Raw genomic sequence first — 17,051 nt, 5'->3', positions numbered from 1 at the left:
ATCAACTTCCAAATTCAGTCAGCAATATTTCACCAGAAAAGCTGCTTTGCAAAAATTAAACCTCTAATGTTTACACTGGGAAATACCTCCAGTCCTTCTTTACCCTCTCCCAATGTCCCCCAGCCTCTGCACACACACACACACACACACACACACACACACACAATCTCTTAGACTTTTTAGCTCCTCTTTGTTTAGTTCACCTCTGTTTTCCTAATGTGTACACAGGTTATTCTGTAGTGAAGTGCCCAAAATGCCTGTAAAAGGAAAAACTACACAAAGTAAAATTTTGCCTCTTAGTTTTCAAAATGTTCTAAGAACCTATAGATTCATCTGACATAAGATTGTGAAAAGGGGCAGCCAAAAGAAATCAATTAGACAATTTCTTTTTTTAAATTGGTGTCTGGTATTTATTTATTTATTTATTTATTTATTTATTTATTTATTATACTTTAAGTTCTAGGGTACATGTGCACAATGTGCAGGTTTGTTACATATGTATACATGTGCCGTGTTTGTTTGCTGCACCGATTAACTTGTCATTTACATTATGTATATCTCCTAATGCTATCCCTCCCCCATGCCCCCACCCCACGACAGACCCCAGTGTGTGATGTTCCCCACCCTGGGTCCCAGCATTCTCATTGTTCAATTCCCACCTATGAGTGAGAACATGCTGTGTTTGGTTTTCTGTCCTTGTGATAGTTTGCTCAGAATGATGGTTTCCAGCTTCATCCATGTCCCTGCAAAGGACATGAACTCCTTCTTTTTTATTGGCTGCATAGTGTTCCATGGTGTATATGTGCCACATTTTCTTAATCCAGTCTATCATTGTTGGACATTTGGGTCGGTTCCAAGTCTTTGCTATTGTGAATAGTGCCGCAATAAACATACGTGTGCATGTGTCTTTACAGTAGAATGATTTATAATCCTTTGGGTATGTACCCAGTAATGGGATGGCTGAGTCAAATGGTATTTCTAGTTCTAGATCCTTGAGGAATCGCCACACTGTCTTCCACAATGGTTGAACTAGTTTACACTCCCACCAACAGTGTGAAAGTGTTCCTATTTCTCCACATCCTTTCCAGCATCTGTTGTTTCCTGACTTTTTAATGATCGCCATTCTAACTGGTGTGAGATGGTATCTCACTGTGGTTTTGATTTGCATTTCTCTGATGACCAGTGATGATGAACATTTTTTCATGTGTCTGTTGGCTGCATAAGAAATGACAATTTCTTGAGATCCCTTTTCATTCAAATTGATAACTAGAGGAGGGAGGCAGGGTTAGGCTCCAGCTGCCTGTTGTTTTTAGTCAGTTTGTGCAACTTCAATCCATTTGACCCAGGCACAGGCATATTATATAAAGGTTTTATGAAAAGAGATAAACTTTGAGAAATATTTTTTAACTTTAATTTTAAAAATGGCACAATGAGTCACGCCCGTAATCCCAGCACTTTGGGAGGCTGAGGTAGGAGGACTGCTTGAGGCCAGGAATTTGAGATAAGCCTGGGCTACATAGAGAGACCCTGTCTCTACAAAAAATAAAAAATTTAGCCAAGCACGGTGGTACATGACTGTAGTCCTAGCTGTTTGGGAGGCTAAGGTGGGAGGATCACTGGAGCTTAGGAGTTTGAGGCTGCAGTGAGCTATGGATCGTGCCACTGCACTAGAACCTAGGTGACAGAACTTGTCTTTAAAAAATAAAAATAAAACTAGGCGATGCATTAACATGGGGAATATCAACACAATATAAAAATGTATATGTTGAGAAGTCTGTCCCCATCTGCTCCGGCCCAGCCCCTTCCCCAACCCCCTCTCCCTGCAGGTAAGCACATCGTTAGCTTCTTGTGTATCATCCCGGGATTTTTGCCGATACAAGCAAACACAAGCATATCCCTATTTTCCTCCCTTTCCCAATGTTTTTGAGAAAGAATTTAGGAGAGAAGGAACTTGCTTTATTTGTCCTGGTAGTGGGAATCCATGAATAGAGAAGGTATGATGGTATATCAGCAGCTTGGAAGAATGGAAATGATTTCTGTTATTTAGATTCCCAGAATCGTTTTATTTGACTTTGGTTCTTTGGTTAAACCTATTCTTTGGGCCTCTTAACTCTTTAAGCTTCAAAAATCTTTGTTGTCTGAACAAGCGAAAGTTTTAGATGATTCATAGAGCTCATCTTTTTTGCCTAACAACAAAAACATGTGTATGCTGACTTTAAGAAAAGAACACGAAACACAGTGGCAAGTGCGGTACAGTGTCCCCTTAGGAAGAGCTGCCCTCACCCTGGGTCTCAGTGTTAGCATGTTGGGGTGCTGCCCATGGCCTGAGGCATGAACATTTATTCCACCCAGAAGCTTTTCTTTATCTTAAATCAACCTGGACATAGAGACAAAGAAGGCCTTAGAAATATCTTATTTTTCTGACACTTAAGTGTCTCAAATAGAATAATTTTGTAGATTTCAGAGACAACAGGAATGTGTATGTAACAGCCAGATAATTGATGCTGGGCATTGTGTAAGACTGGGCCAGATCCCCAAAACAATTAAACACTTTTAAACTCATATTTTGGAAATGAATAGGCAACAAAGACAAAAACCTGTCCTTTGAACAATTTGAAACACAATAACAATGAAATGTGTTGTCATTTTTTGTGTAGTTTTATGTATGCCAGATGAATAAAAGATAAACTAAATTGTGAATGACATATAGAATAAATTATCACATAGGTGCGTATTATAACAATTGCTTTACATTGTAGATATTTCCTAGAGTTATATAATGAGTGAGTTTGTGGAAATGAAATGAAAATTTATTAAAAATTTAATGAAATCCTTAAGGCGATTTATTTATTTTAATATTTTATTTTAACTAGCTTTTTTGTTGAAAAAGAAATACATGTGCATTGTAAGATATTTAAACAGTACAGAAAGTATACAGTAAAAATAATCTTTCACTACATCCCAGGCACTCAGGCCTTTTCCTCAGAGGTAACTAACACAACACTTTGTTATGTTTCCCACAGAAATATTCTGCACATCTCAATATGTCAATATCTCTATCTTAAAAACACAGACAAGGGCATGTAGTAAACTTGTTCTTTGCTTGGCCTTCGTCCATGTTAGCAGCTGCATACCTCTCACACCTCTCCCAAAGCCACAGAATATTCCCACAGAATATTGGAAGGACAGGCCTCCAGTAATTCAGCAGCCAGGCCCCTACCGTGGGATGACTCTTCTATGAAGCGAAGACAAATCTTTTGGAGAGTAAAATACAATTGCCTTCTAATCATCTCTGTCGCCCAGGATGGAGTGCAATGGTATGATCTCAGCTCACTGCAGCCACGACCTCCCAGGTTCAAGCAATCCTTCTACCTCACCCACCTAAGCAGCTGGGATTACAGGCTCATGCCACCATGCCCCGCTAATTTTTGTAGAGACTGGGTTTCACTACATTTCCCAGACTGGTCTCGAACTCCTGGGCTCAAGTGATCCACCTGCCTCAGCCTCCCAAAATGCTGGGATTACTGGCATGAGCCACCACGCCAGGCCTAATCATCTGTTTTGATAAAGAGATTTTGTCATAGAGCAAGCGGTGTCCAGCTCTCCTTTAGCCACTGTGGCTTCCAGGACTCCCAGCTCTATCCCCTGGACTCAGGGAGGTCACCATGCTCTGTGTTGCAGCCCAGAAACTCCACAGACAGTGAGCTGGGGTAATATCCTACAGTCCACCTCATTTGTTCCCCTCGCAGAGATCACCACGCTGGGCTTTTGATGTCCCTGGTCTGAAAACCATTCTTTCACACACTTTGCCCAGTTTTTCAGTTGTGTCAGGCAGGAGGATAAACCCAGTCCCTGTAACTCCATCTCAGCCAGAAGCAGAGGTGTTTTTTAAACACAAAAGTGTTTCCTAAACTTGGATGTGTACAATCATCTGAGAAACTCATTAAAAATAAAGATTCTTGGGCTCCCACCCAGAAATTCTGATTTGGCGGGGCTGCCTGGGAATCTGTATTTGTAACCAGAGCCCCAAGCGGTGTTGAAGCAGCCCCGCCATCACCAGGCCTGCTGTTTGAGAACCACTGGCTCGAAGGATGATTATGTTTATTTGTCAGCTCTTCTCAAGTGATACCACCATATGGGCACTTTGTTATTCAGATGAACAAAATAAAAATAAATGGTGAGGTGGATTTCTTGCCCAACTTAAATTATTGAGTGTTTAGAAACATGCTGTCACCTCTGATGAGTGTCTAAAGAGGCCTGAGTTCGGTTCTAAGGGATAGCTCTACTCAGCAGGTGACACTGCAAATGCTATGTGCTTGAAGGCAAGTTGGAGATCAAGTTGGAAGGGACACATTTGCTTGTCTGCACAGAGAGGGCACACATCCCAGCAGCTTCAGCTTAGTTAAACTCATTTTGGAAAATATTTTTGGCTCATGTGGTTTTATGCTTTTAGAGTTCCATTTTAAGCACTGGGTCCATCCAAACCCACGGAAGCTAGCTGAAGCATCCAAGGAAGATGCTGAGTTTCACACAGATCTCTGCTGAGTCTGGAAAAATCTCTCAGATTTGTCCAAACTGCTTTGTTGAGAAATCAAAACAAAAATCCCTAATCCCAGTGGGGCTTGTAGGGTCTGTGGTTTTTGTCCAAAACTACGGCAAAAGTAGTGGTCAGTCATGTGACTCACAAGCCTAAAGGTTTCATTATAAAACCTGAAAAAAACCCACGAGCTTAGTCTTAAAATATACTCCCAAGAGACAAACCAGAAAAAAAAAATCATCTTAGTTTTGGCCTGGAAGCATAGACTAAGGAAACATGTCCAAACCAAATGTTGTCAGGGCTCACTACATTTTAAATCCAAAGCTAAATTTTATTCCATTGGGGTGACACTGTTTATTAACACTGTCTGTGGCAATCAGATTGTCTAGAAAAGTTCAGGAGAGCTGGAGGCCCTCTCTTGTTTATGCTATGAGCAGATCCGGCCTGCTGTCCAATAAAATGAGTACCAACAACATAAATTGTGAGATTTTGTTTTACCACATCTTCCTTCCCCTAGGATATGTAGATAATACATTATGAAATGAATTATCCTTTTTATTATTTAACATAAAATTTTACTCATTAATGTCAGATCCTTTTATAACAATGACTCCTAAATTCTAGGATACAAATGTATATCCTGTAGAATTTGTGACACCTGCATATTCTTGTTGTTTATCACTATTTAACAAACCACCTTAAAATTTAGGGGCTTAAAACAACCATCATTTAATTGCACTTCAGGATTTTGTGGATCAAGAATTCTGGCAGGGCTCAGCTGAGTGATTCTTCTGTTCCATGTGATTGACTGGGGTCACCCACTGGTATTCAGCTGGTGGCTGGTCTTGTCTGGAGAGTCCAAGATAATTTCACCTACATGACTGGAAAATTGTAGGGTGATTGTAAAGCTAGCTTAGCCATGTTTTTCTCTGTCTCCACATGGTCTTAGGGTCTCATCACATTGCTCTGGTGGCCCAGGGCTCCTAGAGACCTATGCTAGCTCTGGAATTGGCATTGCATCATTCCATTGATCAGAGCAGCCATGGGCATTTCAAGGGGTGGAGAAATAGATCCCACCTCTAGATGGGGAAAATGTCAAATAATTTGTAACCATCTTTCATCCACCACAACACAAATGCCAGAGCTCTCCCCTCACAAATTCTGGTTTGCTAGCAGTGTGGTGGGGTCCAAGATCTGCATTTTAGAAGACATTCAATGAGATTCTGGTACAACAGGTCCTTATAGCACACTTAGAAAAATACCATGTTATAAAGTGTAATGGAAAATGTGCTTATAATCAATCTATTCATCAATCAATTAACAAACATTGATTAGTCATGACGCGTGTCCCAAATCACGTTAGGTGCTGCGGAGTGTAAAGAAAGGACCGCTGCCCTCACTGCATTCATGCTTCACTGGAGCCAGGTTCAGGGGAGCAGAGCCTGAATGCCAAAACCATCTCGTGGGAGAGGGTCAGGTGGGAGCAAAGGAGCAGTACAGAGTGGGCTCCTGCGGCCCAGGGGACTGAGGCAAGCACCTTGGAGCTGAGCCATAGAAATCAGATCAAAAAGTGTGCTGGAATGAGTAGGTGGACAGAATGAATTATGGGGGAAGGGGAACTGGACTCTTCAAAGGTCCCAGCCAGAAGTGGGGCTGGGGTCAGGGGAAGGGAGCAGGAGGCACGATGACTCCCAAGCTCATTTTTCAAAGTGTAATGTTTTCTCCCAGGCTTTCGACAGGATTATCTCCTCTAGTGTCTTAGTCAGCTCGGGCTGCCGTAACAAAATACCATATACTGGATGGCTTAAGCATTGATTTTCTTACAGTTCTAGAAGCTGTAAAGTCCAAGATCAAAGTACCAACAGGGTTGGTGTCTGTTGAGGAAACTTCTCCTTGGTTTGCAAATGGCCTCCTCCTTACAGTGTCCTCACATGGCCTTTCCTTGGTGCATGGGGCACACACATACTCATACTCACATACACACACACTCACACACATACACACACTCTAACACTCACACACATACACTAACACACACACTCACACATACTCACACTCACATATACACACTCACACACACTCACACATACACTCACACATGCCCCCACACTCACAACTACACACACTCATACACTGTCACACGTACACCCACACAAACATAAACACAGTCACACACTCTCGCACACCCCTACACACACACACGAGGAGAGAGACTCTTCCTCCTCCTATGAGGCCTCCACTCCCATCATGAGGATCCCACACTCATCTAATTCTAATCACCTCCCAAAGGCCCCATCTTCCAACACCATCACTCTGGGGGTTAGGACTTCAACATATTGATTTGGGGGGAGGAACACACACATTTAGTCCGTAATGCCTAGTCTCTTATTCCTCTGCAATCCTGGCTTAATGTCACCCTGCTGGCCCATGTTGTTCATATCCAGACACACTGCGCAGCTCAGCTCCAGAATGGGAACAGCTACTCTCGTTCCAGCAACAATGCGCACTTTCAGGGCAGCCCGTCTCCCTTCCCCTTAAACTCGGCTTCTGACTCATCCCGCTTCTGCCCAGAACTAAATGGTGTCTGGACCCCACCCCCAAAGCAGGCTGTGTGTGAGGGGGTGAGAGGAGAGGGGAGAGGGTGGCTCCTGGGGGAGGCACAGGTTGGGAGGATCTTAGGAGCTGGGTAAAGCTATAAAGGATATTATGATGGAGTCTGTGAGCAAATTGCTTAAACAATGCTGAGAAAGATCATCTGAAATCTAGAAAGATTCACAGGGTTACAGATAACAGTGGAATGAACTCTGGTTGCTGACCAGGAGAACAGGGTGGGGAGTGAGTGCTGGAAGAGAAAGAGGGTCCAGGAGGCCATCTGTAAACAGGGGCATGTGTAGCACACTCAGCAGGCTGGGCCTGGCTGCTCCAAGATGTCTAATTGGGGTGGACAGATACACTCCATCCGTGGGAAACAACCCCTTCCTGTCCAGATCAGAGGTTGCTGTCAGTGCTAAGCCTATAAGTTCTGAAGCCCAGAGTCAAGACCGAAAGCCCAGGCCAGCAGCATTCAGGGCTGGTGTCAGCAACCAGGCAGGAGCCTAGGCACAAACAAACGGAAGTTGAGGGCTAAGCCATGAGCCAGGAATCAGCCTGGCGAGGAGCCAGGGGGCAGGTTGAGAGCAGACTGAGCAGCCACGGCCCCCACCAGCAGGGTGATCAATGGGTCAGAGGATGCTCTGCAGACAGACAGCAACCAGGAAGACACAGATAACCATGAGCAAAGCTGGGAAGATAGGCCAGGATCACGGCCCATCTGCAGGAAGGGGAATGGGAAGTTGGCAGAGAACAGGATCAAGGAGGACAAGCATCTCGGATGGTCTCACTGCCAGTAAGAAAGCTGCTGGTTCTTGCATACTTGCATACTTCCTGCTGGGACAAAAAGCAAGCTCAAATCAGCCCAAGGCTTCTGGGTCTGTCCTAAGGATAGGATGGGAAGGTAACACTGTGCCTCTGTAACAGTTAGATGAGAGGGCCCCTCTAGGCAGATGCAGCCCTGGCTTGGCAAGCAGAAGTGTCTAGGAGAAGAAAAGAGCCCCATCGTCCAGGCAGATGGAGGAAGCACCCCACCTGCAAGCTTGGTGAGCAGAGTGCAATCTGGATTCAGTGCCCCCTATACCGCAGCCAGAGCTTCCGTGCAACCACATGCGTAACCACATGTGATGACCCTGCTGTGAAGCGGGGGAGGAGGGTCGATTCTGGTCCTGAAATACTTGCACACACTGGCCAGATCTTAGTGTTTTGACCGTAAGTCAGGACAATTTTGAGCTTCTCTTCTCTGAGTTCTCCGGCACCTTCTCAGACACAGGGGTTGTAAATGAGTCATCACCAGGGGTGTATGATGCATTAACACTGGACTGATTTCAAACACAGAGGCAAGTGGGTGAGCCCAGAGGGCCTGGTGCATCTGCATTGTGGTGCCACCACAGCCTGCCTGGGCAGTGGCTGGCTTATGCAGAGGGCAAGCTGGGAAAAGCTACCAAAAGGCACTGCTGCCAAAAATGCCGTTCCAGTTGGATGGCAAGCCATGTTCCACGACTCCGCGGCTGGAGAACAAAAACTCCTGCTGTGCTTCTTTTAAGATCAGGAAAATACCACCTTCCTATGGGGTTACTTCTGAAGATTTCATTAAAAGGCAACGGTGGTCACAGCCTTGCGAACTTAGCTCCCTTCCCCAGGGGCGATCATTGTACCTGACCACCGTGCTTTTGTTTTGCCACTCAGAGTAGCCCTTAAACTGCCTCTACTTCCTAATTTGTCATCCACCCATTTCCTTATCTTTTGATAGCAGCTCTCCCAGGGAGCGTGTTGGTTCTGGCAAGAGGCTCTTGACCTGGTTTCTGTTTCAGTTAGGTCTATTTCCATAGGTCTGACCAGTTAGGTCTCTCTCATGCTATGCTTCTGTTCAATATTTCTTGAATGCTTGGCATGTGCCAGGCACTGTGGTAGGGGAATGCAGAGACGACTGACATGGTTTCTCCCCTTAAGGAGTTTGCACTATGGTAGAAGACACAGAAACAAACCAGCAGTAGTGGGCAGTGGCTGCGTGCAGGCATATCCAGCATCTATTCCCTCCTTCCTCTTCCTAACAGAATCATAACACTGTTCTGGAATCTTCTCTCTCCTCAAGAATCACCTCTCTTTCTCTTTCTCTCTCTCTCTCTCACACACACACACACACACACACACACACACACACACACACAGCGCCTGCGTTGGAGGTGAGGTCCAGTAACTATTTGGTGGATAAAGCCAGAAGCAGGATGAGTCAGAGGTGGCATTTAAGAGGAAGGGAGCTGGGGCCGCACTGAAAGCCCACACTGGCACTGGATGGACGGTGTTACTGGATCCACTGTGGAGTTGAACTGTATGGTGTGAGCAACACGGGCCAGCAGGACTGAAGAGAAAGCCAGTGTGCAGCTGTGCTTCGTTCATTTTCACTGCCCCAAACTATATAGTATGAATATACTATAATTTATTTATTCATATTCATGAGTTCATTTACTCATTCAGTCAATGGACATCTGAGTTCTTTCTAGCTTCTCAAAATTGTGTTTCTTTGAGAAGGGTTGTTTGATTTTGTTATTATGATAAACAGTGCTGCTGTAAACATTCCAAAACAGGTCTCCTGGTACACATGGTGAAGTTCATATTTAGGGGTTAATACCAAATTGTCTTCTCCATGATGGCACAATTGGCATTTCCAACAGCAGGCATTAGGGTTTCCATTTGTTCCATATCCTCACTCACACTTTGTCTTATGACACTTATGATATTTTTTAAATCTAGCGATTTACATTGCAAATTTGAACTTGAATTGTTCTGATATTAATGAGATTAAACATATTGTGAACATTGGTCATTTGTGTTTCTGCTTCTGTGAAAGCTTATTCAAGGCTTTTGCCCATTTCATCCAGAGAAGACTGATTTTGGCTTGGACCAGTGTAGTGGCAATGGGGTGGTGAGAAGTGGCCAGTGAAAAGAAGCACTGTGTTGTTATAAAGGAATACCTGAGGCTGGGTAATTTATAAAGGAAAAAAAGGTCTATTTGGCTCATGATTCTGATGGCTGGGAAATTCAAGATTGGGCATCTGCATCTGGTGGGGGCCTCAGGCTGCTTCCGATCAAGGCAGAAGGCCAAGAGGAGCCAGCCTGTGCAGGGACCACAGGGTGAGAGAGGAGGCAGGAGAGAGCTGGGAGGTGCCAGGCTCTTTAGCAACCAGCTCTGTGGGAAGTAATGGAGTAAGAAGTCTATCAGTCTCTATCAAGGCATTAAATCTATTAGGGCATTAATCTATTCAGGAGGGATCCACCCCCATGACCCACACGCCTCCCATTAGGCCACACTTCTAACACTGGGGATCAAATTTCAACATGAGGTTTGGAAGAGAAAAACATCTCCAAACCATAGCAACTCTGACAGGATTTGCTGATGGACCGTGTGAGGTGTGAGAAACGATAAAGACTGATTAGTCCAAGAGACATTCCTGAGCCACAGGAAGGATGTTGTTGCCTTTGCTGAGATGGGAAGAAGGGAGGCAGACCAGGCTGCAGGGAATGCAAGGAGCTCAATACTAGACATGATGTTTGAGGTTTCTGTGAGACATCTCAGAAATGGTGTCCTGCAGTCTGCTGGACAGAGAAGACTGGAGTTCAGAAGGGAGGCTCCAAATGATGCTAGACATTTGGATGTATCACTCAGGATTGCCACAGAAAACAGTGGAATACTCAAATTAGGAACATTTAAGGAGGATTTATTTACAAAGGAACTATTTTTACAGGTGAGGGTACAGGGAAACACAAGAGCCGGTGGAACACCAGTGTTCTACTTGAAATATCAAAGAACAAGGGAGATAGGGGTTACAGGAACTTGGAGGTGGAGAACTGGATCAAGAAGGAGGCTTTACCCAGACATGGTGGCTCAAGTCTGTAATCCCAGCTACTAGGGAGGCTGAGGCGGGAGGATCACTTGAGCCTAAGAGGTCAGGGATGCAGTGAGCTATGGTCATGCCACTGCACCCCAGCCTGGGCAACAGAGTGAGGCCCTATATTTAAAAATAATAATAATAAAAACCAAGGAGGCCCATGAGAGACATTATCTTTGGTTAAATGTCTTCACACAGTTGGAGCTGAGGGAAAAAAGGCTCAATATCACTCTTCTCTTTCCCCTTGATATCTTGCCACCACTCACCATTAGTCACAACCAGCCAGAATCCAGAAGGCACAGAGGCCTGCAGATAAAGTACATACCAGCCAACCTGCCGGGTAGAGACCAGGGCAGAGAAAAGTGGAGAATAGATCCAGAGGTAAAGAGACATTACCTGGAGCAGGCAGAGAAGCTGGTATCGCTGGTGTTTATAGCCAGGAGACGATGAAATGACTGGAGAATGCATGCAGATGGAAAAGATCTTGCAGAGCTCTGGGACTAAACTCTGGATTAGTCCAGTTTCTAGAAGCTGGATAGGCGCGCAGGAAGCAGCAAAGGAGACTGAGAAGAAGCAACTCCAGGAAGGTATGGTGTCTGGGAAGCCAAGGAAAAAATGATTTCACGGAGAGAGTGTTAAATGTGCCACCTGCTGTGGATAGGTCCAGGAAGATGAGGCCTAAGAACTGACCACTGGACATAGCAAAGCAGAGGTCTCTGTTGACCTTGACAAGAGCAATGGTAGTGGGAGGGGGACCTCACTGAAGTGGGTCTGAGAGAGGAATTAAAGACTTGAGAATAGACAACTCTTTCAAGGAATTCTGCTAAAAATTGTAAAATTATATGTAAAGAGATGAGGGACATGGGTGGTCATTGGAAGGAAAAGTAGATCAAGACAGGCTTTGTTGTTTTTAAGATGAGAGGAAATAACACCCTGTTTGTATATTAATAAGAATGACCCAGTATAAAGGCAAAAATTGGATGATGCAGAAGAGAAGTAAATTGCTGGGCAATGCCCTGGGACAAGCAAGGAGGGGTGGTGACTGGAGCATAAGCAAAGGGCTTGGGTTGAGTTAACAGCTTGGAGAGTTCATCTCTACAAACAGGAGGGATGAGATGGTGGAGTGTGAGTGTACAGATGCTTGTGGGTGTGTAGATATGATGAGTGGTGTGTGGTGAGGAGGTTCATTTTTGATTGTGTCCATTTTCGCAGTGCAACAAAAAGCAAGATCATCAGCTAACAGAATCTGGGAGAAGTTGGTGTTTTGAGAAGAGAGGAAATAATGTGAAGCAGTCCGCTAGTTTAGCAACCATCGAAATTTTTTTGCTTTCATACCTCCTAAAATAATTTTGAAAAATGATATTTCCTCATATATTTTTTAAGTGGCAACTAAAATTTTTCATTATAAATTTAAATCATTGCAAAAGCTGTAATTTCATTTATATAACCAGCTGGGAAGAGAACGACTTTTGTTAAAGCAAAGTTACGGAATTTTTGAAACTCTTCTGAGTTATGTAGCAGAAATCACAAATATTATTTCCAAAAAGTGTTTTTACAAATATTTTTATATCTATTATTAAAAATTATTTTTAATGATATATCAACTTACAATGTAATTAGTTTGTGTTCAGTTTAATTAAAAGCAAAGAATAGGAAACTGGGCTGCAATAGTTATATTCCCCAATAATACTCATTTATTTTCTTAACACAAATACCAGTATTTCAGATTGTTCCTGTATCTAATTCCTTATGCACTGGGCCATGGAGCATACTAAGATTCATAACAGATAAGATGCATGTTTTTTTCCTATTTTCACAAAAAAGAGAAAAGCAATTGTGAAAGGAGACTCCTGAATTCCAGATGTTCTCAGGCAAGTTAATCTGGGGAAAGTGTAAATTTGCAAAGTGACTCCCTTAAAAGTGTCCTTGCCAACGTGTCTCTTAGAAATTCTTCATGTATCCATTTGTTTAAAATTGTAATTAAACATATATATAGCATAAAATTGAACATTTTAGCCATTTTGAAGTGCAATTCAGTGGCATTAAGTGCATTTACATTGTGGTGTCACTGTGACTACTACACGTCTCCAGAACTTTTTCATCATCCCAAATGGAAACTCTGTTCCCATTAAACAATTCCCCATTCCTCCATCCCCAGCCATTAGCAACCGGTCTTATCATTTTTGTCTCTGTGAAACTAACTATCCTGGGTACCTCACATAATATTTGTTTTTTGTGACTGGCTTATTTCAATTAGCGTAGTGTCTTCAAGATTCATCCATGCTGTAGCATGTATCAGACTATCACTCCTTTTAAAAGCTGAATGATATTCATGTGTGTGTGTGTGTGTGTGTGTGTGTGTGTGTGATTTGGTTTATCCATCTATCCATGGACATTTGGGCTGTTTCCACTTTTTGGCAATTTGAATAATGCTTCTGTGAACATGATGTATACAAATATTTATTTAAGCCCCTGCTTTTAATTCTTTTGGATATATACCCAGAAGTGAAATTTCTGGATCATATGGTGATTCTATGGTCATGTATCCATTTTGAAGACACTTGTCTAAGAGAAGAGAAGCACGGATGAACCAAAGGAAGATAGTATAATTGCAGGGCTTTCATAGGGCTCAACTGAGATGGGCAATTCTGAATTTAAAGTAAAACCAGTCAGCAAGTTTGTGTTATTTTATTCCAGCACATTCAATTGCGCAGTTGCAAGTATAGGTTAGAGGAAGTGTTGGATAGAACCAAGAATTCGGTTTAGTCAGGCCATAATGTTAAAGCAGGAAAAATGCAAAGGAGTTGAGCATATGCCCATAATCCAAGTGGTTATAATTATTGACTGTGGAATATAAGCTGGGTGAGGACTTGAAAAGCATTTTATACATTTTTCCATATTGACCTGGCAAATTCTGTTAGATTAACGTCTAGGTTCTTTATAAATAAAAACCTTTTAAAACATGTTTTTCCAACTGTTTGTTGCTAGAGTATACAATAAAATTGGTTTTTATAGACTAATCATATATTAAACCAGCCTAAAAACCTCTCTTTTAAACCCCAATTCTTTGTATATAAGATGCACTGGGTTTTTTTGTAGGTGGTCATATCCTCCATAAATATTAGGAGTCATGTTTCTTGCTTTTCAATTCTTATGATTTTCTTTCTTTTTCACATCTTGCTGTGTTGGCTAGTAAGTCCAGTATAATGTTAAATAAAGAACTGGTGACAGATGACCATTATTATCTAAGGACTGATTTTAAATGGATGCTTCTAATATTTCATCATTAATAAAGACATTTACTCCAGGTTTTTGGTAGGTACTTTATCTAGTAAAGGAAGTTCATAAGAGTTGGCCAAGAGTTTTCTTTTTAATCATGATTAAATATTGAAGTTTTTGTATTAGTTTGTTTTCACCTGCTATAAAGACATACCCAAGACTGGGTAATTTATAATGGAAAGAGTTTTAATTGACCCACAGTTCTGCATTACTGGGGAGGGTTCAGGAAACTTACAGTCATGGCAGAAGGTGACAGGGGAAGCAGGTACCTTCTTCACAAGGGGGCAGGAAAGAGGGAGTGTGAGCACAGGAAAAACTGCCACTTTTAAAAGCATCGCATCTCGTGAGAACTCACTCACTATCACGTGAACAGCATGAGAGAAACTGCCCCCATAATCCAATCACTTCCCTCCCTTGGCACGTGGGGACTTCAGGTCCCTCCCTTGACACATGGGGATTACAACTCAAGATGAGATTTGTGTAGGGACACAGAGCCAAACTATACCATTTTTTCAAATGTGCTTTCTGTATCTTCTGAGATGATCATATGGCTTTTCTCTAATAATTGGTTAATGGGTGGATTATATTTATGGAATTTTTAATATTAAATGATTCATCCATTTCTCATATAATCCTAACTTGGTCATGATGTAACATATTTTTTATCTTACTGGAGTCTTTTAATGTTCACAGTATAAGGAAACAGAGTTCATAACACCCATTTTACAGACAGGAAACTGAGACGTAGGGAAATATGGAATATGCATGAGATTTACACCCAGCAGGTAGCAGAACAAGGATTCAAACCCTGGTCTGTCTGATTCTGAATTTATGTTCTTCCCACCAACTATTCTCTTTGAGGCAGAAACCAGATCTTTCTTATATGCCTCAAGTGTCTGGGGCAGTGCTATATGCATAGTACTTATTCAAGAATTTGTGTTGAATAAATACTAAATGGATGCTCCAGGACTCTACAGATTCTTTAAATGTTCCTTAGCTTAAAAAGTTTCTTTCTCATCAAATTAGCTCATTTTAGGTATTGGTCATAAAATGATGTGAAAGGTAAACAGAAGAAAAGGTCTATAAAAGTGGACCTAATGATTAATCCTAGTAGTTCTTTACTACTACAGTTCTTGAAATTCTCCATCACATTGGAATGGATAAAAAAGGCCAGCAGGAGGCAGAAGTGAAAGGAAGAGAAAGTCTCTTAAAATGTACAGCATTCCCCTTGGTCAGTGTTTCTACTAGTGTGTCCATACTCAGCACCGAAGAGAAGCGAACACTATCAATGCTCCAGTCTTCATTAGCACTTCATCTCTTCAGTTTAAAAAGTTGTATTTCCTGAGCAGAAATGTTATAGAGAGATTGAGAATAAGCCTCCCAATTAGAGAAAGAAGAAGCACAGGCAAAGACATACCTGAGCATGGTGAGGGGCAGGAAACCCTGTCCCCAAAGCTCTGAGCATAGAAATCCCCTCCACCCTGCAAGACCCTGGGATGGGCCTCTGGGCATAAACAAGGGCAGGAGTCTCTCTACATAAAACTTTTGCCAAAATAGGATGAAGTAGGCAAATGTTACAGCCAAAATAATATTTCACTGCTAATAGAAAAACAGGCAGAAAAAACTACCTTGTCACCTTTTCTGGGAAAAGCAAAAATAAAGTTGTATTTCATCCTTAATTTTCTACCTTGTGGGCTAAAATAAAAGGAAAATTACTTCTGGGCAATACTGCACATATTATAGAATAATGAGCCATCTTAAGCAGTTGGGCAAGAAGCAGAACAACAAATGTTCACTCCAGAAAAGAAGAGAATCATGCAAAAATAATAGTGTTGTTTTCAGAAGTAAACCTTAAAAAGAAATCAAAAGGGAGATATAATCAGATACACTATCAAGGGCCAACTAGGAATGCCACACGTATCATTGTTAAAGAGACAGTGTGACGCTTGGGTATGCACTGGAAATTTGGCACTTGGGAAGCTGATCTGATTCACACCTGGCTTCTCACTGCCCTCATGGCCCTCTCTACCTGCAGCACCAAATCAAACCATTTCATATCAGCTTTCTCCTCTCTCTCTCTCTCTCTAATTGTTAATTAATTGAACACTACAACAAGTTATTCTGTAAAGCCAGCTAGTAAGATGGTCCCAAACACACCAAATCAATCAGCTTTCAAGACTGGCTTCTAATTGCATGTGGCCCTTCTGTGACTCTGTGTTGGCAAAATTATTAAGATGGCCCCCAAGATTCCTGCCCTCTGGTGTATATGCCCTGAATAATTCCCTTCCCTTGAGTGTGAAGGCACTTATGGATATAATGGAATATCACTCTCTATATCAATATGTTAAGATGAATGGCAGAAGGTATAAACAGATGTAATTAAGAGCCCTAAGTAGTTGACTTTGAGTTAATAAAAAGACAGATTATGCCTAGTAGGCCTAACCTAATCAGGGAGACCTTACAAGACTTCAGATATTTCAAGTGAGAGAGATTTCTCCTGCTCATGCTGGAGAGGCAGACAGTCATGTTGTGAACTGCTAATACAGGACATATGGCAAGAATCTGAGGGCACCCCCAGAACCCAGAGTAGTTCCCAGACAACGACCAGCAAGAAGCTGGGACTTCACTCCAGCAACCCAAAGCAACTGAATTCTGCCAAGGACCAGTGAGACTAGCAGAGGATGAGAAGCCTCTAAGGGACATGCAGCCCTGGCTGACCCTCTATTCCAGCTAAGTGAGAACCCGAGCAGAAAGCC

At 42.5% G+C, this 17,051-nt stretch overlaps 1 long non-coding RNA gene across 1 annotated transcript in view, besides 1 other annotated feature; it reads right to left on the bottom strand.

Annotated features, from left to right (window-relative positions):
• Positions 1–5,250: 5,250 nt before the first annotated feature.
• Positions 5,251–17,051, bottom strand: part of SMIM15-AS1 (SMIM15 antisense RNA 1) — a 69,765-nt gene continuing 57,964 nt past the window's right edge. The window contains exon 4 of the long non-coding RNA NR_109908.1: positions 5,251–5,418. This is a non-coding gene — a long non-coding RNA (SMIM15 antisense RNA 1). The remainder of the gene's footprint in view (positions 5,419–17,051) is intronic.
• Positions 9,423–9,623: a silencer, noted in NCBI's record as "peak5262 fragment used in MPRA reporter construct". NCBI's record gives its function as "represses an SCP1 promoter by STARR-seq MPRAs in K562 erythroleukemia cells {active_cell/tissue: K562}" and the evidence as "EXISTENCE:reporter gene assay evidence [ECO:0000049][PMID:32103011]".

Source organism: Homo sapiens, chromosome 5 (genome assembly GCF_000001405.40).
Source record: "Homo sapiens chromosome 5, GRCh38.p14 Primary Assembly".
Taxonomy (NCBI): Eukaryota; Metazoa; Chordata; class Mammalia; order Primates; family Hominidae; genus Homo; species Homo sapiens.
This window is presented reverse-complemented; position numbering and strand designations above follow the sequence as displayed.